Source organism: Homo sapiens, chromosome 2 (genome assembly GCF_000001405.40).
Source record: "Homo sapiens chromosome 2, GRCh38.p14 Primary Assembly".
Lineage (NCBI taxonomy): Eukaryota > Metazoa > Chordata > Mammalia > Primates > Hominidae > Homo > Homo sapiens.
This window is the reverse complement of record NC_000002.12, coordinates 214,170,836-214,197,966: the sequence shown is the minus strand read 5'-3', so window position 1 is coordinate 214,197,966 and position 27,131 is coordinate 214,170,836. Positions and strand designations below refer to the sequence as shown.

At 34.4% G+C, this 27,131-nt stretch overlaps 1 protein-coding gene across 13 annotated transcripts in view; it reads right to left on the bottom strand.

The window, feature by feature from the left end:
• Nucleotides 1-27,131, bottom strand: part of SPAG16 (sperm associated antigen 16) — a 1,126,038-nt gene that overhangs the window by 212,535 nt on the left and 886,372 nt on the right. Inside the window, exon 16 of one of the 13 annotated variants that reach the window (XM_011511817.3) lies at nt 5,502-5,545. The exons of the other annotated variants lie outside the window; for them this stretch is intronic. Within the exon in view, the coding sequence (XP_011510119.1) occupies nt 5,517-5,545 (29 nt within the window). The 3' untranslated portion in view covers nt 5,502-5,516. Of the gene's footprint in view, nt 1-5,501; nt 5,546-27,131 lie in introns of those variants that run through there. 13 annotated transcript variants of the gene reach the window in all.

The window sequence follows — 27,131 nt, the reverse complement described above, 5'->3', positions numbered from 1 at the left end:
AATGGCCAGGTAAAAAGTCAATAGCAAATTGGGCCTAAATATTACCTTTTACTGATAAAAAGAGTGAGAATCGATATGATAATATTTATTTCATAATATATATATATTTTAGAAATCTGGGTGTTTAATATTCACTTTATTAATAGGTTAATTCAGTGGAAAAACACATATAAAAAACACAGGTGATTATAATGTAAACTGATGTTACCACACATAGCTATCACATACATTACAATGAAAAGTACCAAAATGTAAATAACAGAAGTAGAACTCTGATGAAACAAAAATCTGAGAAAATACCTCTAAAAGAAGTTGTATAGAGTACCCAAAACAGTTTTATTAATAATGCCAATAATATTTTATTTGCAATGACAATGATATTTTAATTTTTCAGTAAATGTGTAGGAGATTTGAGAATTTTCACTATGGAGATTTATTTATAGTCCATTCATACTGTAGTCCATACAGTATGTATGGTCCATTCATAGTCCATTATACATAGTCCATTATACATAGTCCATTCATATTGTAGACTATGTCCAAAACAATGATGTTTTATTTTAATGTGAACTTTATTAATTCAGAAATTCTCTGACTTCCAAATAAAGCTAACAGCCTTTAAAAATGATATTAACGCCAAAATGGGAATATAAACTCAGTAAGCATTTTTCTTATTTATTTTGTCTGTATAAATTACATGTTGAGATTTATTCACAGATTTCAAAATGACTGAACAGTGTTTAAGATATATTGTATCAGAACTCTAAATAATATTGCAAGTCAATATCTGACCTACATTATTTTCATAACATTCATTTTTACTCAAAACTGAGTGGAATATAGTCAGGTTAATTGCCCTAACTTTCTCTAAGCAAGTTTCAAAGCTTCATATTGGCAGGTGTACCTGTCTTCTGTTAACTGAATATCCCAGGGCCATTTAAGCCTTTAACTATTATTAATTATGGCTGTTAGATTTATACATTATCATAAGAAGCTGGCATCAAGTGGTCTTCCCTCCACTTAGATTTCTCATCAGTTATTCTTATAAGCACATACTCTGAAGTCATTTTTCAACCGAATATAAAGCGAGAAAATTGTAGGCTCTGTGGTTTTGATGGATTATATTGTGCTATATGATTCAGTGCATTATACTATCCTTCAGGTTTTCCCTACATTATTCTTAGCTCAGCTAAATTAGTATTCTGCTTTTGATACTTAAATGTTAAATCCAATTAAATTAAGAAATTTTCCTAGTTTGTATATGATGCATGTTTTAAAATTCAACCACAAATAATGTAACAGGCATATAGACTGGTTTCACTCTTTGTGTTTCACTCTTTCTTTTCCAATTATTTTCTTTGCAGTTTCTGAGCACCTTCTGCATTTTTCTTGGTTTGTAGTGTATATTTCAGTTGGAATTAGGAGAATATTCTGGGACTAAGTGATATTTACCATTCTTCCATTCTGAATTTAGCAATGATAGTTGCCTTTATTGTGCAATCCCTGAACTATTAAACAGTCAATACGGATGGCCTCTGTGTCTACTATCTTAGGGTAGTTTTTCTGTTTTCGTATTTGTTAAGTGGTATCTAAACATCATGAAGTTCCTCTGGATGCAGAAGAGATAAGGCATCAAGACAAGAAATTCTTTCATGCTTAAGTTCTGATAATCAAGATCTTAAGATGCCAAGGCTCCACAGGGAGAAAACGGTAGAGAAGTTCAAAGAACAAAGGGGAAAGATTGAAATGGCATGTTGATTTCTGTCTCTCTGGCATGGTTTCTTCCTTCTGTCCTATATCTCCACCTTCCCGAGGCATACAATACTGATGGTTATGACATTCAACACGGGATTAAGAAAACATAGTGAAAATATTTCTTTAAGGGCCTGAAATTTTCATTATTATTAAATATGGGCGATTCTGGTTCTGGTAACTTTTTACACTTATTTTGAACATTTTTCTAAGGAAGTACTGTGATATAGTAGAAAGACCACTAGGTACTGGTGTTCCTCTGGCTCAGTCCTGGGCATTTTTACTAATATCACTCTCTCTGTGATCCTGGAAGATAGCAGTTGTTTATTTGACTTTAAATAAAATCATAATGTTGGTGACTTCAAATTCATAACTCCAGCTTGAAATTCCCCGTCAGAATCTAGACTTCCATAGCTAGTTTTTTTTACTTGAATTTCATCTGATTCTCATAGGAATCTCAGACTTGCCAAGTGTCAACATGAACTGCTGATTTCCCTCCTGATTCTGTTTTCTACTTTTGCCCAGTCTTCTTCATCTCAGTAATGACCTCAGACACTATTTAGTCACTGGATCAAGCCAGAAAGCCAAGGGGGTCAAGTCACTTGCCTTACTCACCTCTGCACTCCCATCTCTAATCCATCACCATGCCCTTTCAGTTTTATGCGCAAAGTTTGTTCTAATATATCACTTATCTCCACCTCCACCACTGTTTCTAGTTCAATCTTGCACTTCTATTACAGCCCCATCAGTGGTCTCCTCATATCTAATGCTAACCCCCTGTAATTCTTTTCCTAGAGTTGTTAGAGTAATCTTTGTAAAATGTGAATTGAATAATAACATTCTGTGCTTGAAATATGTCAAGTCTATATATCTCTCAAATATCTATCTATCTATCTATCTATCTATCTATCATCTCTCATCTATCTGTGTGTGTTTGAACTCAGTATCTTCCCCTGGTCACTCTGCCTTTTCCTACATTTTTAACTCTTCCTAGAACTTGCAAAGAATTTTCCACCCTTAGGGCTTTTATACACATCATTCCTTGTGCCTGGAAGTGTTATTTGTTTTCCTGGCAGACTATTCCTTTTATTTTAGGTTTCATATTAAATAGCACTTTCTCAAGAGGCCATCCCTGTAGCTTCTGCTGGTTATTTTCTTTCATTCATGTAATTCAAAATGTATTATAATTATTTTTGTATCTACTGTTATCTGCCTATTGCATTACACTATAAGTTTTATGAGGGCCACGCTATGTTTTACTTATTCATCCCCAAATCCCCAGAGTTTAACACAATGGCTACCACATATGGATGCTGTGTAATAAATGTGTATTAACTAAAAGATATGGTTACATATTCCAGTCGTAGTAGTAAATGTGCAGAATTTTTCCCTTTACCAAATGGTTTCAGAAACAGGGCTTTCTGAGTTATCAGGAAAAATCCTCCTTTCTTAAAATCTAACAATATGATAAGGATGCAAATTTTGTGATCTACTATATGCATCTGACATCCCTTTTTGCCATTTTATTAATGTTGTGACTTTGAAAGTGTCAGAAACATCCTGAGTCATTCTTCACATGTAAAATGAGAATATTTATTTGACTAGCAAACCTCTATTGTGTTATAAAGATCTAATGCAATAATGTGCACAAATATGTCTTATGCTAGTAAAACAGACACAAATTTGAAGAATTATTGCTCTGGGCTGTTAGATGTCAATTTGACAATGTGAAGTTTTACTGTGTGTACCATTCTTCTATCTCATTTTCCTGCTTCCAGTTTTCCTGTAATTTCAGATACCAAACATACAAACTAGAATAGTTTGTAAAGTAAAAGTATAGTGTTTCTGAGCAAGTATGAGGAAGAGGATACAGTCTATGAGTACACATATGTGTATTAGTGCATATACTTCATGACTATTATGATCTAGGTAGACAGGTTTGCCTATAGTAGATTTTGGAGATCCAGGGCATATTTTGTCTTTAATCAAGACTGAAGTGAATTTTCATGTATTGCCATTTCATGTATTGCTAGAAAAAGCAAAAGCCCCATGACAACTCGCCAACTATTTGAGCCTACTGGTCATATAATGCATTGCTTTAGAATGAGTCAGTTACAGTCTTAAATAATGTCTTGCTTGTCCAAGTCATGTTTAGCATTTTCTGACTATAATAGTTGAGTATTATATAAAGAGTAATTCTCTTTAAACATCTCTAAAGAATGCCAACCAATTTTTTCTGGTGCAAAGGTGCATCTGAATGGTGCATTGCTTTAACGTTGGTAGTGTCTGAGAATTTTATCATTAAAGAAATTAAACTAAATGATCTACTTTTTTACACAGAGATGATACTTAGTGTTGAATGTTTTGTTTTGTTTTTGCAGTAGAGAGAACATTTGCACCAATATAGCCACATTTTCTCACTTGGTTTTATTCTTTGTTTTGTTTTCAAAGCAAGTGTCTGAGGTCATGAAATGGAGGACAATAACCTGTACTGAATATAAAATAGGAACCATCATTTAGTGAGTATCTCCCTTTTGTCAGCAACTTGACACACATTTTTTTCACAATAATCCTCAGGTAGCTACCCATGACAGACGTTGCAGAGATGATGAACTGGATTCAGAAAAGTTAAGTAACTACTCAAGGTTACACAGCAAATAAATCACACAGATTTATTACTGCCAGGACCTTTTATTTAACTGAACCATTCTGCCTAAAATCTTGGCAGACATAGCTTTGAGCTCTACCCCCTTCTCTCTCTCTCTCTCTCTCTCTCTCTCTCTCTCTCATACACACACACACACACACACACACACACATAAAAGATCTCTTTGAATTAGATGTTAATGAATTTTAGCAAAAGCTCTTAAAATTTTAATTGGATGAGTATCTTGGTGCAGCAGTTCTAGTAGAGGCGACCAGAGCTCCTCCCAGTTCCCTTTCTCTGGTCAGGACAGCACCCATCCACCAGCTACTGGAAGTGTTGGCTGCTAATTGCTCATAGATGTATTTTTTAAAATTACCTTTTGATAAAATCCATTTTGCTTGGAAATGTCTGAGAAATTATGCCTCACCCTCTATACCAGTGGCCTTAACAGCCAGTAGCCGACTGATATGGGGATACAAAGCTTGGTCGCTTTGCCTCTAGATGGGACAACTCTATAGTACTGATCATGTAGCAGAGGTCCTTGTAGGACCAGGCTGACAACAGACTTGAGCTAAAACTTCATCGTCACTTGGCTTCTGTCCCTTCCCTGATCTGCTTCTCTCATTCCATTTGGGTTTCTCTTAAAAGCTCTCTCTTGCATACAAATCCCCATTGCAAAATCTCAAGCTGTTCTAGGGGAACTTGATGTAAGACAGAAGCTTATTGCAGTCTCATTACTTATTTTTTACAATGCATTACAGCAAGAGAGTAATAATCATATATGGGCACAATTTTGTAAACAGAGTATTTTGCTTACCCATGGGTCTCTGTTAACCAGAAGATACAGTGTATGAAAGACACTTAAGAAAAACAAAACCATCCCAAATGCCATAAAATATTAGAACTGTCTCTTTGGAAAAGTACAAAAAAAATAAAGGAATATACAATACTACTAAGTGCAATAAACAGAACAAACTATAGTATATGACAAAGAGAAAAGAAAACAGCTTTTGAAAGAATACATTACAAAAGCATAGCTAAACACAGCTAAATAAACTCTGTGAACAAAATATTATTTTCTCCTCAATTTTGCTCCTGAGACAGCAGAACCAATCTTTCATAGAAGAAACAAATCTCCATTTTTTTCTAAGAAATAGAAAATAAAGAGTTTCACCAGGATTGTAAAGTTACTCGGTAACAAATTTAACATTATTCATTAATTATTTCACACAGGCACTATTTTCTTAAGGCATCAGGAAAAAAGAAACATTAAGGAAAGATGAGCAGTGAAGGAGAAAATGACTACACTGTTCTATATCAATCATTTGCGTGCCTTCCTTAATATATTCTGAACTTGTCACTAATATGAACACCATCACTGGAAAGGTAGAATGCTTCGTTTCTTGAAGCCCTCTAATTTTTGTTCAAATTGTCATAAACTTCTACCTAGAAAGGAATCATAAACTTGCATGTCTTCACAGAGTTTTCAACCTTTGTGGTAAACTCTTTAGCTTCTCTTAGAGCAATATTTATTTACTTCCTTACTAATCCATTCTTTTGTCCTAGTCCTGTTTTTTTTTTCCCAAAGTAATGTCCAATGATTCATTCAGACTGCTTGAATAAGAAACTAATGGAAATGAAGCTCAGGAATTTGCATATTAAAACCATTTTAAGCAAGGATCTTCAAATTGTACGTGTTCCCTTGGGATCACAAATAAATTCTTATAAGTACATGGACACATAACTATACGGAAATCGTTTTCTAGAACCTCAAATTCTATGTGAACTCTTTTTTATGATTGGTTCACAGCATCCTGGTTTTTCCTTTTTTTTTTTTTTTCTTTTTTTTTTTTTGAGACAGAGTCTCACTCTGTTGCCCAGGCTAGAGTGCAATGGCATGATCTTGGATCACTGCAACCTTCGCCTCCCAAGTTCAATCAATTCTCCTCTCTCAGCCTCCCACCTAGCTGTGATTAGGGGCATGCACTACCACACCTGGCTAATTTTTTGTATTTTTAGTGGAGATGGGCTTTCCCTACATTGGTCAAGCTGGTCTGGAACTCCTGACCTCAAGTAATCTGCCCACCTTGGTCTCCCAAAGTGCTGGGATTACAGGAGTGAGCCACCATGCCCGGCCCTGGTTTTTCCTTTCTAACTTCTGTTTTCATCATCACACTTTTCCTACCTTACTAAAGAGGAGCAAATTACTGCTCAAGGTATAACATTAGTTGGTATACCAACGAAGGGGCAATTTGAAAATGCATAGCTCCCACTGGAAGAGTCTAGCAAGGGAACCAAAGAGAGTTCTGATAAGCATTATTGAAAGTGGCTGTGCCTTTTTTCTCACTAAATCAAAAATATCTCAGTGAAGGACCCCTGCTTCTGCTAGGTGGTCTCTGTCCTATCTGTCCATCTATTGATTGATCATTCTCCTCTTCTACAATTCTGTCATTCTGTGATTCTATCTAGAATTCAGAAGAAGAATGGATAATTGAGGTAGGCTTTTCTGACCCATAGTAAGCCTGATTTGGCAGACTGGTTTGATAATGAGGACTGGCTTTTTACCATTTACTATAAATTGAATAATCTAAACCTGTCGCTACAAGCTTTTGACAAATATGTATTTACAGCACTTTTCTATCTTAGCTCAGGCTGCTGTAACAAAGTACCATACGCCAATTAGCTGATAAACAACAACAGTTTATTTCTCACAGTTCTGGAGGCTGGAAGTCCAAGAACAGGGTGCTATCATGAGATCTGGTGAGGGCGCCTTCCTGGTTTGCAGAAGGCCACCTTCTTTCTGTGTCCTCTCAAGGTGAAGAGGGAGCTCCAGGCTCTTTCTCTTCTTATAAGGACATTGATGCCATCATGGGGCCCCCACTCTCATAATGGCATCTAAACCTAAGGCCGCACATCTGAAAACCATCACATTTGGGGGTAGGACATCAACATATGAATTTGAGGCAGACATAAAGATTTGATCTGTGATGATATATCATATACAACAGGCTGGAGATAATAGCCTTTGTAGTCATTTAAATTTGTAAAAATAATTTGAGCTATCAATTGTATACAAGGGTATATAATAGTCTTTGTAGCCATTTAAATTTATAAAAATAATTTGAGCTATCAATTTTATATGAGGGTATATATTCGTTTTCAAAATTTGGGGGCATATATGAAGAAGAAAATTGAAGTGCACTGCTCAAAAATTTTCAAATTATTTCTCCTATATAAATTCCAAAGCAAACAACACAATCTGGCAAGTAGGGAGGAGAGGAAGCTTGTAAAGGTCCCACTCATATTCCCTTTTAATCTTAGTCAACTACCTTTCACTCCAAGAGTAATGCCAGGAGGAGGGGAGAGATTACCAGTATTGAGGCAGACACAGACGAAAGACGTGGAGCATATTCTAGTAACATTGTAGTATGACTGTGTAGAGAGTGACAGGTGTGTGGCTACATATGTCTATATGCATGCATCAAGGTAAAAAGAGAAAAAGGAAAGAGATAAGACAGAGTTTGATAGTGCAAAACAGGAAACTGGAAGATAATTTCAGAGTAGGATGTTCATTCTGGAGACTGGTTCAGTCAATTAAAATTTTTATTCATTCAATTTTTTTCCAACTGTATGATCCCAATTTCGGAAAATTTCAGGTGGCATTTACTAGTTGTTAAAGGGGATTGTTGATAATTTTGATGATGCAAAATATAATCTATAGGAGCTCAGTTTTTGGTAAAGAAGCACATATATCTACTTGAATTACATAAATTAATTTACAAATAAAGGACTTAACTATATAATTAAGTTGATTTTTTAAAAGCACCTCTTAAAAACTTTTCTCTTCCCTAGAGTATTTTCAATAGTTCTATCAAAATATCATGGAGAAAAATGCAAAAAAAAAGGTGTTTATGCATTCAATACAAAAAAAAATCATGTTTAGCATTTGCTGCTTTGGTGATAGTCTCCTAGGATCACATTTCACTGTAGTCTTGAAAAATTCTCCCAATTCAAGCCCTTATTTTAAAATATGCAAAATGCACAGGTACATAGAGCTTTGTCCAGAGAAAAGAAGACTGTTTACCTGACTGGCATTTAAAATGGTTATCAAAAACTTCTCAACATTACTTGCAGCAGAAAAATCATGAATGTCCTGGCAGAGACAATGATAAACCTAGCTGACATGAAAAATAAGATGCATTCAGTGTTTAATAGCTTTGGTGATTTTTTTTTTAATGTGAACTGCATGTTTCCTAAAATTCCCCTTTAGTCTTCTGTTCTCAAAAGCCAGCTCTCTCATTATTATTCCACATTAGTTCCATTTGCTAGTTTGATGACTAAAGGCCTGGTGGCCAGATGCAAATTCTGCTTTATGATGTTAATTTAACATCAGATGTTGTGAGTCTGTCATTCGCCAAAAGCTTACAGGAGTCTCACAATCATTTTGAGAAGTACTGCACAAATCTATGCAATACAACATACTTATACAAATGGATTTGTTAGTTCTGAAAGTGAACATTCACCCAACTAAAAGGTAAAAAGACCACGATTCCTTTGTAAAGAGTTGAGGTCTTTCCTGGACAAGAGATGTTGCTATGTATAAAATGTTACCTGTTTCCTCCTAAATCACACCCAGACTGACACACCTTGCTATAAATGAAGCACAGAAAGGGATGCAGGACCCCACACTTGAATCAGTAAGTGATTATCATCAAATTAGTTGATGACTGCTATGAGTAAAGGATGAGTTAAAAAATAGATGTGTTGCTTAAGAAGTGTGGAAGTAATTGCAGTAACAGAGATTTTCAAATTTGAAAAATAGCAGTTCAGTGTAATATCAAAAGAATTCCTAAAATTAGTATTCAGAACCACAGCAGGTAAATATAAGGATAGGAAGAGACTTAGAAGTAAAGATATCTCACCTCTGAAGACTGAGCAATTGCATTTGCAAAGAGTTTGCATTTTTATGGATATGAAGAAATACTCTATGTGGATTAGGTACCAAAGAATGTTTGGTTTTGAAATACAGAGAAATAGATCCAGATATTTAGTTTAATAAGTCCCTTTTATTCTAAACTATGGAATTTCAATTATTTTAATTTATGGTTTGAAGAATCAGATCTAAATGTAATTTTCAGACACTGCACTATGATTGTGCATAAACAAAGATTAAGTGCAGGTGACACATACTTTGTAATACAGTGCTTGGCAAATGGTACTTGCTTTATAAATGTGTGGAATGTATATACAACATCTTTGAGAGACTGTATGCAATAAGACAAAATTTCCCTTTAGATCCTCATTACACTTTCAAATATACTTAATGGCCTAACTAGTCCTTTATTGGCAATGCCTTTTGAATTTCCTTTGTAGACTTTCATTCTAGCCTTGGCAAATGAATCTCACATGGTCAAGTGAGAGATTGAGCTACATGAGATGTGGGTATCCAGGGAGAAGTGGATATGCAAAGAAAGGGATGATATGGGCAGAGGAGGGGCAGACACTCTGACCTATCTATCCCAGTTTCTCATAACTTGGGCTTCTTATGGTTCTGGATGGAACTGCTGCAATAAACCGTCAGCATTTAAAGTCATATGTTCTCAAGGTCCATCCAATACAAAAATCGCTTAAATAGTAGTGCATTTTGATATTAAAGGAGAAGAGGTATGGCTAGAGAGAATAGCTCAAAGTACTACTTTGTCCGAAAGTTTGGAGCCTATTTCATTTTGTTTACATTTTTTTTTCTTCCTCATTTCATCCTTTCCTCCGACCAGAAAAAAAAAAAGGTTAAGCGATATGGAGTTATAAGAGTAACCTGAAAAACTGGACAGCTTAGATAGCCAAGATTTGGTTAGGCGGATTTGTCTTAACCTGAGGTTTGTTATGGCAGACATTATTGTTTACATGACTAATTCCCAGACTTTTTCTTCCTTGCTGTCTTCTGCTACAGTGGATGAAAAAGCCTGTTTCTCAGCTTCCGTTCAAGCTAGGGGAGATGATATTGTTCATATGGGCCAGTAAGATGTTAGTTTAATTGCTAATAAAATGTAGAAAAACTCTTGCTTTCTGATAAAAGGGACAATTCTTTTTGAATGAATTAATGGGTAGATGAATGAGTACTTAGATTTAATAATCATAGCTAAGGAAAACATTTGTTTGCCAAGATTTTACTTTCCCTTTTTGAATTGATTTACATCAACTTGCCCATATAAAATATTGCTAGGTAACACATAGCATAGTACCTCTCACCTATGAAGCACCTAGACAAAAGTGAAAGAATAATTGAGAAGTATTTGAAACAAGAGATTACTATGGATTAAAACAGGAATATACCGGAACTTTGTGTGTGTGTGTGTGTGGGGATATATATTGGTGTATGTACTTACACTTAACGTATAACTATTTTTGCAAATGAGAGTACGCCCATATAGTGTCCTACCATAGTGGTTCCTCAAGTGTAAACTTTGAAAGCTTCTATTTATCCCTCCTGTTGAAACTACTTGCAGCCAGGTGCAGTGGCTCATGCCTGTAATCCCAGCACTTTGGGAGGCCAAGGTGGGTGGATCACCTAAGGTAAGGATTTCAAGACCAGCCTGGCCAAAATGGCAAAACCCTGTCTCTACTAAAACAAAATACAGAAATTAGCCTCGCATGGTGGCACAGGCCTGTAGTCCCAGCTACTTGGGAGGCTGAGGCAGGACAATTGCTTGAACACAGGGGGCAGAGGTTGCAGTGAGCTGAGATCGTGCCATTGCACTCCAGCCTGGGTGACAGAGTGAGACTCCATTTCAAAAAAAAAACAAAAAAACAAAAAAACAACTACTTGCATATTGCATGTTTCTGTATTGAGCTCTTTTTTATCCCATAGGAGAGGAATTTTGACAATTTGTAGTGTACTTAGTCAGGTTAGTATTCATTACCTCCATCTATTCCTTCTCTTTGGAGTGACATGTATGCTCCAGAACACTTATGTCATGTTATTTCAGTGGAAGGAGGGGGAAGCTGTATGGTTCTCAGCCATGGTTATTCATCCAGATTCTACAGATTCATCTGTAACTCTTCTAATTCTCTGGACGTACAATTTTTCCTACATTTTACTAAATAATTTCATCATCTTCACTCCTCATTCTTCTCAAGCCCCAATGACTTTCATCTTCCCCTCTCTCCTGCCCCTGCCCATGGAGTCTTTATTTGCTTAGAAGAAGGAAAAACTCAGAGTAATTAGATTCTCATAAATCTTTCCTTCATATACCTGGACCATGCATTTTAACTTCAGAGGTGACAATCTTATGCTTTATACTCCAGCTTCACTGTGAGCTATGAGACTCCTCCTGTGGCAGTGGGGAGCTTATTCAACACAGTTCTGTGGTGGAAGACAATGTGGTAGGGTGAAGGTGTCAGGGAATTCTTTTAATACTTGACAATATAATTCCCCAGTTTATCCAGTAATGCTTGTTGAAAGAATCATTTAATTTTCAGCTCATATTCTTTGTTATCAATTCAACTTTTATTTTTTGAACATTATTTTATGCCTGGTACAGTGCTGGGTATTTATGAACAGAGTGCTGTAGAAGACAAACAAGGACTCTGCCCTAACAGAACTTACATTATAGTGGGGGAGATAGGTTGCTAACAGTTAAAGGAATAGAAAAACAAGATGAGTATGGATTGTGAAACATGATATAAAGGAAACAAACAGGATGAAAGGCTAAAAGGGCATATCTTGTTGGGTGTGTATTGTGGGGCTGCTTTGGATATAGTGGTCAGGTCCCTCTGCTCTCTGGTCTCCACATGACCATACATCTGTTCCATTTAGCCTTTGCCCCTTTGTCACAGACTACGCAGGCACACTTGGACAGGTCTCCAATAATTCTGTCTCTGTCTGGCCTGCAAGTTTTGCTTGCTCTGTGACACCTTCTCACATCACTCCAGTTTATGTACAGTTGTCCATTCTTCGAAATTTAAAAAATACATTTATGTAACTGTTTAATGTTTAAAAAAATACCTCTTTGTAATTTCTCTAGTTTTCTTGATGTGCAGTTTATCTCATCATCATTCTGTAGACTTTTTTTTTTATCACATAGGAATTCTTTCAGGGACATTTAAGACAGGTATATCTATTTATGCGAATTTATTTTATTCTGTTTCTTATTTTGGTCCAAATTAGTATTCTCATTTCCAAACACAAACTGCTTCTACCCAGTAACTAAGAAATAAGCTTCTGTACAATAACCATAAATTATCAGGTGCATATTATGTGGTAGGAATTGTGTTCACTGATTTACATAAAATGTCTCATTTTATGCATATAATAACCTTATGAGATAGGTAGACCCAAGCTCAGAAAGGTTATTTTCTTGAATTGTCTATGTTAGATTACAGTGGAGTGTGCTTAGAAAGCAGTGAGCCTCTAGAACGAGCACTTTTCAAAGCATTTTTCAGCCTCTGCAAATAAGCCTATTTTTTTCATGCAAGCAAATTACCTTTGTCAATAAGCTATGCATGTTAATTATGAATGTTAATAAGGACAACTGATTATTGAGATTAATAATCAATGTAATCCTAAAAGGCCCAGCTGCTATATTTTTATATCCATAGAATATTCTAAATGCAAAAGCAAAAAAAAAATTTTTAAAGACAAAATTTTCATTTCTATTTTGTCATTAAACTACTTAAATTTTAGTGAAGACTTTATTTTGAAATTAAAATTTATTGGACAGAAGACTATTTCCCTAAAATTTAAATGGCTAAAAAGCAAAAATTGGAAAGCTTTAAGTTTTCAGTGATAAAAGTGATTTGTTGAATTATATGGCAATAATTATACTTATAAATCCTACTATGAGATCAGTCAGCCATGTGCTGCCCTTTAAAAGAAACCAAAACTGCTGACAGATGTCTGCGAGCTATCAGGCAATAAGATTTTTATCAAATTATGACCTTTTGTTTTTGGCCCTGAAACTGTTTGCAGATTCCCCCTTAAGTAATGCACAGGTAATATTCAAGCAATAGTTAGCCTCATAACGTACCACAGTTCTCCCTGAGAATGTTGTGGGGTGACAAAAGAAATGTCTTTTTTTTGCTGTCATTTAAAGCAAAACAAATCAGTGTAAACATTAATATTTTATGAGTGAGCCTAGCTAACCCAATTACATTAAAAGTAAACTAGTAAAAATTGGCAATTATAGAGACACTATAGTTGGGATGAGTGGCTGTTAGTATTACTAATAAAGCTTGAAAAGCTTTCAACTAACTTTACATTTATATGACAAAAATAATCCTTGGTGAGTTTTAATATCCAATAATTATAATAAAATTTTATTTAAATGGTATACCAAGAATTATGCATTTTATCATCAAAATGACAAACAAAAGAAACAAGAAATGCAGAGAGATGTTTACCACATGTCAGTGAAGAACAAAAATATCAGACTATAAGCATATTTATTTCATATGATATATGGTTGGCAAACTGGCTCTGGTTTGCCAACTCTTTGTTAATGGTCCATGATAAGTATATAAATTGAAAATAAACATTTAGAATGTGTACTATAAATACATGTATAGTAAAGACCACAGTTAGAATAGCATGGACCTAAATGGTATTGAGATAATGAGTCAAGATTTATGTCAAAACCCCCAAATGTTTTAAGATATGTACTTATCCTGTATGGAGCTTAAATTTGCCTCAACCACTTGTGATTGCTTCTTTATAATCTCAGATGGGGTAATCTATACACGGAGGCTTCGGTGAAGCCTTTCATTGGTCTTCATAAAAGCACATTTGAGGAAAAGACAAGCAGGCTCTCACTGCAAGTTTGGACTACACAGATGACGAAAATATTATCAGCCAGGACAGGTTTCTAAGCTGAGCTAAAATGAGACAGGAGTGATAGGGCTGACCTATCTCCAGCACCCTTGTCCCTGCTTCCCTTTCATCATGGTTTGCCATGTAACAAAGTTCAAGCCAATTAGGTATAAACAAAAGTGTGTTATGGTTTTTCTGGAAGAGCTTCTGCTTTCTTTATTGAAGAAAAATGAGCCACTTCACTCCTTTTCCTGACTTGAACAAGCTGAGAGCCATAGTAGCCACATTTTAGCTGAGAGTAAAAGGGCCGAGAGACTTGCAGAGGTGTACACCCTGATGTCATTGAGCCTTCACACCAATAATAGTAGCTCTTGTCTCCAGAATCCTTGTTATCTAAGAAAAATAGCCCCTATTTTTAAAGCTTCTCTTCACCAGTAATTCTCCTCTTTGTCCCTGAGTGAAAGTCTGTCTATAATAGGGCATAGTAATCTCAAGAAGTAAATTTAGGCATGATATGGGGACAGAAATGGATCTGCTTCAGGTTAAGTCTGAGTTCAGATAACCACAAATAGAAAAATATGTAGTAGATGTATGGATTTTCAAAGTGAGGGAAGCGGGCAGTAATTCAAATAGGGATGGTACATTTAGGTATACAAAGGAATATTTTTAAAAGAGGAAGAATAATGAAACTGGAGATTATCACTAATTTACTGTATTAGGAAAATAACCAATGGTTAGAGTCATTGATTCCTCTAACAAGTATTTGTGTATTTACTATATGCCAGGCACTTCATCGCTATGACCTCTTCTAGAGTTCCTTATAATTGGGATATAAGAAGCACATAATTGATGGCCACAGTAATAAAATAAAATTTAAAGTGTATGTCATATTATTTTTTTCAAAATTTTTCTGAAGTTTGGAAAAAATCTGAGCAATGTGATCTGATATTTATGTACAATAAAGTGACATGATTCTGGCACCTTGTAAGGAGATCGTTTCTTACAATTGCTAAAATACAGAGCAAGTATAAAAACCACAGAATCTACTGGAGCAATTATTTTGGTCTTTATCCCAATTTATAACATTAATATTTATATATCTTGTATATCTCTAGCTTCCTGGCTTACTCATCAGGTAACAGCCATGAAAGGATTAAAGGTAAACAAAGAAACAAAAAGCAACTAACTTTGACTTAAAGATTTGCAGTCCTTTTCATCCCTATTATAAAATACATTTACCTAAGGTACATGTCTATAATCTTGTAGCATTTATATTGGACAGAAGAAACAATTGTGAGACTGGCTGTTACTTTTTAATCTTAGTTGTGTAACGCACATATTAGTCCATCTGTTCATTATTCACATCAATTTTAGACTATATACTTTGAAAAGGCATAGACGGTATTTAAGAATATCCAGTGTACTACTGGAGGCATTGGTATATTTAGTTTTAAAATCAAGAAAACTGATTACCCAGAGTCTCAAACTTATAAGAATAATAAAATAAACAAACTGATAACAACAGAGCTTGTTATCTGGTATGGAATATTTCTAGGATCTTTGATTTTATTACTTTCCCTTCTTTTGTTATATATATACATGTACAATATATATATGTATATATATTTAAATCTCCAGCAAAAGGTAGAGAGAAGAAAGAGATAAACTGTCAGTTCATTTTATTCCATGATCAAGTAGAAAACATTTAAAAGATTAAAGACCATGAAGCTTTTTAGATAACATAGGGCTTTAAATCACTGTTGCATTTTCTGTTCTCAATGAGTTTGTACGTGTATGAAGAGTATGTGTGTGCTGGTGGTGGCTGAATTTAACAGCATGCAGTTGTGATGCCTAGAGGCCATCTAGAAAAGCACTTTAAGTCACTGTGATGCAAGAGGCATGGTAGATAGAGAGCCTTTCAACCACAACTTTGACTAGGTCAAATCGTCTTTTTCCTATTGTTTACACTTTAATGTAAAAATTAAACACATCTACTTGACTACTGGGTACTTGCTGGGCTAAAATATACAATTTTACATCTTATGGAAGTGACAATGGCAGAGAATTGCAAGACTCTTTGCTTTATGGAATTTAAACTTAGATGTGTAAAGAATGCAGTAAGAGTGGAGGAAGAAAAGAAGAAAAAGGATTTAGAGAGAGACGGCCTCTAGCAAAGCTTGCACCCTGGATAGAGAATATCTGTGAGTGGAGCAGATTTTACATGTGCCCTCATTATGTTTCTTCATGGTGTTCATATATAGAATTGGTGGCCAGCAGAGGCAGGCAGTGAGAAAAAGGACTGCTTATAAGATAGGAAGCTACGTCTAAAGCTCCCCTGGGATGCCTTGGGATGCCTTGAAAATCCCATCATACTTTCTGTCATGTCAAGTTAGAGGCCTCTATTTTGTACCATTCCTTTAGCCAAGAAGTATGACTTCCCTTTTCTCTGTTCATTACATCATGTTCAGTTCTTATTTCTGTCTGTTAGTACTAGGCAGAGAGGGACACAAATTGAAAATATAAAAATCACATTTCTCATGTTAGATATTCCTTTGTTACATCTACTCACATTTATTGCTTCTCTTTCTTCTCAGATGTTCTCTGTTAAGCTATGTTCTGACTATTGCTAATTTAATGCCTTTCAAGCAATATTTATGTCATTTTTATAAAATTATTTCTAAATTTATTTGGAAAACAAACTATGCTAAGTAAAATTACCCAGAAGTCTTGTTTACTTTTGGATGGTACATAATAACTATCTTTAATAAAACTGAAAACTAAACCAATCGGGGGCAACTTTAACTGAGAGACAACAGAAGTTTGTAATAAAATCCACTCAAGGCCCAAAATGATCCCAGGTTGGTTTGGCATGAGTTTAAACTAGGTAAAGATTAAAGGTCACGTTGCATCTAGCCCAATGTGAGAACTTTCAGATTCAATATGAGTTGTTAATTATTCCGAAAATATTCTTTAGGTATAAGAAAAATCTAATCCTGGAACCACTATCAGAGCCCATACTGCAAAGAAATAATTTACAATTTGCACTTAATTATAAAAATATGTGTCTAGGTGTCTTAACTCCAAGTATACATCCTTTTTCTTACTTTGGTGATTATTCTGTATCAGTGCAGTGCATATTGCTTTCCTGAATGCTACCTTGTTTTTATGGCACTAACTTGTCATTTAAAGGAAGGATGAATACTGACTACAAAGAAAAAGTTTGTTGGTAATTAAATAAGATGGAAATTATTATCTATTTATAGCTTATTGAATTTATTTTGGAAATACTTGGATACTAAATACTATTCTAATGATTATAACAGGACTATATATCTGAGTTATTTTGATGATCAACTGTCCTTTTGCACTGAAATATCACAGCCATTAATTGTTAACTCATAGATCACTGTGGCAACATATGAACAAAGAGGGCTAGAACAAAAAATTTCCACTCTGCTCTGGACAAATTCCCTAAATACCATGAAATATGCAGAAATGTCAGGCTTGCCGCATTCTTCCCTCAACATATGTATAAAACATATAAACTCAAGCATACACCACTGGGTAAGTTCCCAGTTTCCCTCTGAATTACTCCCCAGTTGCAGGAAATATAGGTATTATAATTTCTGGTGGTTTTAAAATATACATTGTCATATTTAGTAAAACAGTAGTTTGTCATGAAATGGGAAGGAGGGATGAAAGATGCAGAATATTATTTATCTGTGTAATTTCGCATATACCCATACTATTTATCTAAGAGGTTTTATATAAAATTGACAGTCTTTTCCTGAATAACTGCTAACCCAGAATGGCTTAGTAATAGCTGAACTATTCTAACACCATTTACATGTTTTTCCAAAACATAATATTACATATAAACTGTTAAATTCTAAGCACATAAAACCATTTATTTTCCACTCATAATGTTCAGTATGATTTGAAATTAAATTTAAATTTAAATGTAATTGACAAATACCAGTTGGCTTACTGTTGCAAATAAACCTAGACTCCCAAATACATGTAAATATTTTTGGATAGTTATTGTCCACAAGAAAGCCTCCTGTAGCCATACATTTATCTAAGCACATTCATATCTATTCTATTGAGAGCACTGTCTATCGGATTCATTTTATTTCACCTCTTAAGTTATCTAGTGCCACATTTGCTGATTCTCTAAAAAGCAACCCAGTTTAGAAAACAGAAAGAAATGAAGACAGGAGAGACCATTTTGTAGAGAAAAGTGTTTTTGACGTCATGGAGCAATTCTTTGTGGAAGAGGGAATGCTCCTCTGAGAAAAGAGGTGGCTGCAAACAGATGGTCTTTGCTAAGTTAAACTGACAAGACTACAGGTAACTGGTTTCTTCTATAAAAGAAGCAGTATATACGCTGGGGTTTCAGCACCACAGTGCCTAATTATTCCTGACATATTGCCCATTTCGTATGCTTACAATATTATGGCCAAACAGAAAAAAAAAATTATACCAACTGATAGCATAAAACTCAATGGAAACAATGCAGGCTATAAAAAAATTGACCAGAGAATTGGATCTTTTAGATCACAGGTCCAGCTTTTCTAATTTGGCAAATGGTGAAAAACAAATACTATTGCAACAAATTCCTACAGGCTAGATGATTTTGTTTTGGTTTTATACACTTAAATTTTGTGTTACTAAATATTTCTAAAAGTAGAGAAGTGATTAGAGTTTGGCAATATTTTCATTACTCAGGTATTGTAGTTTTATAGTGATTGTAGATTGTAGAGTGGGTCATCTTAGTTTGCAAAAGAAATGTTCATACGTCAAAAGAAAATTGTATAAGCTTTCTACTAAATGACGGTAACAACTGGGCTTTTATTTACACGCTATATATAATAAACTATATATTATTTGCATGCATACTATATATAATAAACACTTCTAGGAAGATTTTCAGAAGGATACATTTTCAAAATATGTTTCTTTCTGATAAAAATCATCAAAATGTTTTTGTAAGGAAATTCAGCTTCGAATACTGGGTAATAGAAATTAGAAATATTACTTTAATATTTTTCAAAACACTGGGTGTGCTACAAAACAAACTTAGTTGTATGTGCACGTGTGCTCTATTTATGATATTTGTTATCGACATATTTTCCTGCATGTGAATCAGCCTCATTACTCTATAGACATTCAAAAGCAATATAGACTTAAAGATCATCTTGAAAATCACTTTTTGATTCACTCTATTCACTCAAGAAATTTCTTGTTTTTATTTCTTGTTAGCAAGTTCTAGCTTTGGAGTAAAACACCCACATCCAGATGTTTCCTCAGCACAAGCGTGCTGAACCAGTACCATAGTATTTTTTGTTCAACCACCTGTTTATTAGCATCTGTTTCTAATTTTATATATGCAGTTTTTCACATTGATTACCCTCACTTTCATTATTTCACAAACTACATAATATAGCAACCATTAAACTCCTACATTCCAATTTCCTAGATTGGTTTATTATAAAAATATAGCACAGTGTTTGCAAAACTCTGATATCTCCTGTCTGAAGAAAGATAATTCAGTCAAATAAGAACGTTTTATTCTCAAAATACCCTAGTTAGGTATATTTAGATTTAATGACATTTTAAAAATAAGCTAATTTGGGTTAATAAAAGTAAGTACCTATATTTCCTCTCAGTTTCTTCTGTGTAAATGTATTTGAAAATATATATAAACACAAATATATCTACTTGAGTTTATATGTACAAATAAAGTATGAATATATATATATATATATATATATATATATATATATATATACATACACTTTGTGAAGTTAGATATAACAATTCTGGCCATATATATATATATATATGTATATATATATATATGTATATATATATTCTGCTTTTTTAACTTAAAATTTACCTTGAACTTTTCTCCATAATTAAGACATATAAAATATTTACTTATAGGAACAAACTTATGGTTTTTATTAATTATTATAAAACTTCATTGTTTGTTAGGTTAATTTGATACTAGCAGAGGTACTATAAATACTCAGCAAACTACAGTGCTAAGTACTAAGCCATTCTGTAACACATCAATGTACAACGGAAAGCAAATATAACTTCCATAAGAAGCATTTTTGTTTCACAAAAAACCTACCTTCTGTCATAATTCTTACAAAGATGACAAAAGAATTTATTTCGCCTAAAAAATAGAGTTGGGAGAAAAAGTGAGGGAGTGATATTAGAAAAAGTACTATTTGAATAGAATATTAAAGAATGAATCAGGGTTTGCCAGGCAGAAGCAGGAAAGTCACAGCAAAGATGTAAAATCCTGAGAATTCCTGGAATACTAGAGAATTGCTGGTAGAACCATAGGTCCCATTAAGAATTTTAAAAAATGGAACTGTCACCATTAAGTCAATCTTTTTAAAGACAATTCATCTAAAGGGTTAGATTTTGAACCTATTCTGCAAGCAAAATAGATACATTTGGTAATGGTCCATATGTTAAGAAAAAGAAGTTAAGGAAAATTCAGGGACTTTGAGCTTAGGCAATGGTATGAATGATGCTCCTTTCTGCAGGAAATAGGGTCTAGGTGTCTAATAGGACAATAATTTCATATCCATTGGCAAGAAAAATGGTTTTAGTTTTCATATAAATATCATAAGCTCACATACTGAGAATTGTGTTTAAGAGATTTATTCCAAACATAATTCTTGAAATAATCTTAATTCTTAAATAATTCTATATTCATCAGCACTCCAGAAGTGAGGGTTTTTCCCCAATTATAACTGAATATAGATATACCACAAATAGAAATTTTTTTAAAAAAAGCTTAGCATAAAATTCTGGCTCCGGAGATACGTTAATAAAGTCTAGAAAAGCCAGTGTAATTTTAAAAAATTGATAGCACATATTTTTTTGCCAAAGAACTATTTTTAGATACATATATAAAACACACACACACACACATTCAATAAATTCCACTAGAGACTCTTAAGGGCACTAGTGGAATTTGCTCTAGAGTAAGCATACATGGAAAATTTTAAAAGAAATTGACCATCACTGTACTTCTATTGTTATATGAAATACTTGAATAAAGACTCAGGGGAAGATTGTCTTACCGAGCTCCCAAGGGAAAATAATATACAACTATACATTCTTTGGAATCAAAGGAACAGGAAAGGAATCTTTTTGTTAGCTTACCTTTAAAAATTCACAAAATTATAGGGTTATTTCATTTTCTTTGTGCATAGACAGAGCAGCCATTTGTTAAAATAAATCTTTGAAAGACCGCTTAGTAGCCTACTTGGAAAACTACAGCTACAGGATAGAGTGAACAGATAAGAGGGGCATATTAAGATCTGTTTGGAGGATTTTTTTTCATTGTAAGTTTTATGATATTCTACAGGTATATCCTGTAGTTTTCAAACCTGGCATTTATTTTTATGGATGACTATCTATAGCACCTCTAGCTAGCAATAATATTGTTTTTTTTTTAAAAAAAGAAGTTTCTTTCCTTTACAGTATCTTAACATTTATCTACTTAGATATTGTTCATTTGGATCCATTTCACCACATAGTTATTTGTCAGGAAATGGTGGTAAATGCTATATTTGAGGACATTGTCATCAACAAAAGCCTTTAATAAACCTGTATTTAATCTGAAGGTATCCATACATTAAAAGATGAATTTATCAGTGGAATACAAATTAGTATATTATAATAGCTCCTTGGCAAAGTATAATTTTATTTATAAGCAGTAAAAATGTTTTTATTATGGGATATTCCAAGTAAATCACAACATATAAAATGGCTAACACATTAATTCTCATTGCTGTTTCCCTCCCATTCCCCACAACCAAACACCACTGCCTCATATGACAAAGTACTCTCATCTGCACCTTTATACATAAAGAAACTTAACTACTGAAGGATTCAAAATTTTATTCAAGGCCATCAAATTACAACAAAAAGGAAGAAGAATTTTATACTGATTATAATGATTTATCAGTTTTTTCTCCTTGCTGTTCTGACCAGGAACTGTTTTCTTGCTTTTTAATGTATTAAACTAAAAGTAGTCTGAAATAACTGATTTTTTAAAAGCATATATATTGTTTGATCAACCTAACCTCTATCACCCCTTCTTTTGACATTGCTCTTTTTTGTTTTGGCTTTGAGGTGTCTTCCCATGTCTCATTGGGTAAAATCTTAGAGGACTGTCAATCAAGATACCCCGATCTCCACTAGCCAAGAGGAAGTGCTCTGCTAATCAGATGTTCTTTTCTTTAATTCAAATCTTGAATGGAATAACACCTGGACAGAAAGTGGCTAGAGCCATCTCATCTTGAGATGAGACGTACTCATGTTGACAGTACTCAGAAGACCACATTCATCAATCCAATTCCTTTTATTCACAGAATTTCTCTGATTCATATATATATATTTCTTTATATATATATTTCTTTATATATATATTTCTTTATATATATACACATTTCTTTATATATATACATTTCTTTATATATATATATACATTTCTTTATATATATATATACACACATTTCTTTATATATATATATATTTCTTTATTCCTGGTTCCTCAATTTAACCTTCTTTCGAATTCTGCAAACTGCATCATATCCTTCTAATCTATTTCTTTCTTAGGAGAGATAGCAGAATCAATTTCTGTTGACTGCAACCCAAGAATTATAGCTGATAAAGTAACAATTTACAGGTTCAGGTAGACACAGGTTGACTCTCCACTGAAGATTCAGACTGGCTTCTGCAGGGTAGAGTTGTGGCTCGAAAATGGCTACTATGCCAAGGAATACAGTTCTCAGTCTCCTTTTTATCTAGGCAGGGTATGGAACTAGTACTTGCTAACTGAATGAAGTGGTTATTTATTGAGGGCCTCTGGCCCTAGTAGTGGAAAATATTTATTTTAGATTCGTGCAAAAGTGATGAAGAAAGCTTTCCCTATCTTTTCCTGTCCACTGGCTAGATGTTTATGCCCAGAGTGACCTTTGAAGCTAAATACTGAAAATGGAACAGCCTTTGCCATCCTGGGCTACTGAAATACTGTATGTATGGCACAGAATCCTTCTCACATTGGATTGATGTGAGTGAGAAGTAAATATTGATGATGTTAAGCCATTAATTTTTGCATTAATTTCTTTCAGCACTTAACATTAAACTAATACCTGCAGGCAACATTAACTGAACTGTTTCAACATTAATAACTTCTCTTCACGTCCCTTGTAAGTTGGATTCCTAGGTATTTTATTCTCTTTGAAGCAATTGTGAATGGGAGTTCACTCATGATTTGGCTTTCTGTTTGTCTGTTACTGGTGTATAAGAATGCTTGTGATTTTTGTACATTGATTTTGTATCCTGAGACTTTGTTGAAGTTGCTTATCAGCTTAAGGAGATTTTGGGCTGAGACAATGGGGTTTTCTAGATATACAATCATGTCATCTGCAAACAGGGACAATTTGACTTCCTCTTTTCCTAATTGAATACCCTTTATTTCCTTCTCCTGTCTAATTGCCCTGGCCAGAACTTCCAACACTATGTTGAATAGGAGTAGTGAGAGAGGGCATCCCTGTCTTGTGCCAGTTTTCAAAGGGAATGCTTCCAGTTTTTGCCCATTCAGTATGATATTGGCTGTGGGTTTGTCATAGATAGATAGCTCTTATTATTTTGAGATACGTCCCATCAATACCGTATTTATTGAGAGTTTTTAGCATGAAGGATTGTTGAATTTTGTCAAAGGCCTTTTCTGCATCTATTGAGATAATCATGTGGTTTTTGTCTTTGGTTCTGTTTATATGCTGGATTACATTTATTGATTTGCATATATTGAACCAGCCTTGCATCCCAGGGATGAAGCCCACTTGATCATGGTGGATAAGCTTTTTGATGTGCTGCTGGATTCGGCTTGCCAGTATTTTACTGCAGATTTTTGCATCAATGTTCATCAAGGATATTGGTCTAAAATTCTCTTTTTTGGTTGTGTCTCTGCCTGGCTTTGGTATCAGGATGATGCTGGCCTCATAAAATGAGTTAGGGAGGATTCCCTCTTTTTCTATTGATTGGAATAGTTTCAGAAGGAATGGTACCAGTTCCTCCTTGTAGCTCTGGTAGAATTCGTCTGTGAATCCATCTGGTCCTGGACTCTTTTTGGTTGGTAAGCTATTGATTATTGCCACAATTTCAGAGCCTGTTATTGGTCTATTCAGAGATTCAACTTCTTCCTGACTTCATACTATACTACAAGGCTACAGTAACCAAAACAGCATGGTACTGGTACCAAAACAGAGATATAGATCAATGGAACAGAACAGAGCCCTCAGAAATAACGCCGCATATCTACAATTATCTGATCTTTGACAAACCTGACAAAAACAAGCAACGGGGAAAGGATTCCCTATTTAATAAATGGTGCTGGGAAAACTGGCTAGCCATATGTAGAAAGCTGAAACTGGATCCCTTCCTCACACCTTATACAAAAATTAATTCAAGATGGATTAAAGACTTAAATGTTAGACCTAAAACCATAAAAACCCTAGAAGAAAACCTACGCATTACCATTCAGGACATAGGCATGGGCAAGGACTTCATGTCTAAAACACCAAAAGCAACGGCAACAAAAGCCAAAATTGACAAATGGGATCTCATTAAACTAAAGAGCTTCTGCACAGCAAAAGAAACTACCATCAGAGTGAACAGGCAACCTACAAAATGGGAGAAAATTTTCGCAACCTACTCATCTGACAAAGGGCTAATATCCAGAATCTACAATGAACTCAAACAAATTTACAAGAAAAAAACAACCCCATCCAACAGTGGGCAAGGGACATGAACAGACACTTCTCAAAAGAAGACATTTATGCAGCCAAAAAACACATGAAAAAATGTTCACCATCACTGGCCATCAGAGAAATGCAAATCAAAACCACAATGAGATACCATCTCACACCAGTTAGAATGGTGATCATTAAAAAGTCAGGAAACAACAGGTGCTGGAGAGGATGTGGAGAAATAGGAACACTTTTACACTGTTGGTGGGACTGTAAACTAGTTCAACCCTTGTGGAAGTCAGTGTGGCGATTCCTCAGGGATCTAGAACTAGAAATACCATTTGACCCAGCCATCCCACTACTGGGTATATACCCAAAGGACTATAAATCATGCTGCTATAAGGACACATGCACACGTATGTTTATTGCGGCACTATTCACAACAGCAAAGACTTGGAACCAACCCAAATGTCCGTCAATGATAGACTGTATTAAGAAAATGTGGCACATATACACCATGGAATACTATGCAGTGCAGCCATAAAACGTGATGAGTTCATGTCCTTTGTAGGGACATGGATGAAATTGGAAATCATCATTCTCAGTAAACTATCACAAGGACAAAAAACCAAACACCGCATGTTCTCACTCATAGGTGGGAATTGAACAATGAGAACACATGGACACAGGAAGGGGAACATCACACTCTGGGGACTGTTGTGGGGTAGGGGAAGTGGGGAGGGATAGCATTAGGAGATATACCTAATGCTAAATGACGAGTTAATGGGTGCAGCACACCAGCATGGCACATGTATACATATGTAACTAACCTGCACATTGTGCACATGTAACCTAAAACTTTAAGTATAATAATAATAAAATTTAAAAAAAAAACAAAGTATGCAGGATAAATCAGAGATCTAATGTGTAACATGAGATGCAATTCTATGTTAGATATTTTTGTTAAATAAGTAGATTTTAGCTGATCTTGTCTCAGAAAAGTAATTACGTAAAGTGATGAATATGTTGATCTGCTTCACTATAGTAACCATTTATCTATATGTACCCCATACATCATGTTGTAAATCTCAAATATACACAATAAAATGTATTTTAAAAAGAAAAAAACATTAATAACTTTTCACTTAAAATATATGTTTACTTATTTATTGTTCTTAAGGAATTTTATGATACTTGATGCACCAGTATCAGTTGCAAATCAGCATCTTCAAGCCTTATTCTTAAACTAGTATCATGAAATTATTCAATTCTATGGAAAAAGATAAAATTTGTCTTACTACATAGGAGTAGAACTGATTTGATGGTATTCTGTTAGTGCAAGGAGCCAAAGTTCTTTAAAAGCAAAGAAAAGTTGCTGAGAAAATATGTTCGAATTTAAACTTTAAAAGAGTTTAATGAGAATTTCTTAGAAATCATCTTGCAAGTTTGTGAAAAGTAATGATAATGACTAGAGTCAAAGGCCCTCAATAAATGTTTTCTGTGATGTTATAAAATATATAAACTATTTATTGATATGCTAGCATCTGTACAAGGGGAATATAAATAACTCAGCAAAGTGCAACAAAACAACAAAATATATTTTGTAAATTAGAGAAAAGAACACTGATAAAGGAGAGCTTTGACAGTCTAAGCACCCATAAACTATCTATTTCAATGTAAAGGAGTCAAAAATTGATGCTTCACATTTTTGCCATGATAATTAAGGTCCAGTGTAACTAAGGTGGTGGCCTGAAGTAAAAGTGGCCAGACCTGTACCTCAGAATTTTCTGAGGTACAGAAAATTATCTCCTTTCCTGAAAGTTGTTATGATCTTAGAAAAGTCTCATGGACTCTAGTTTCCAAGGTTAAGGAGTCACAAAATATTGTAATCTTGTGAGGCGCTCTTGGATGTAAAGGCACAATGGCAATTTTCTGAGCCTAGACACCCTTCAGCAAATCCCACACCCATTTGTATTTATCCATCACAGTGCTATATGGCAGCCTGCCCAGAATCCTGGATAATGATATTGGGACTAGAGTTAAAAAGTTCTAAGGATGAAGGTGGTATGAGTTTATAATTTCTAACACCATGAAGAAATGGTTAGAGTTATATCAAGGTTATTTCCTAGAGAATGAAATGGGC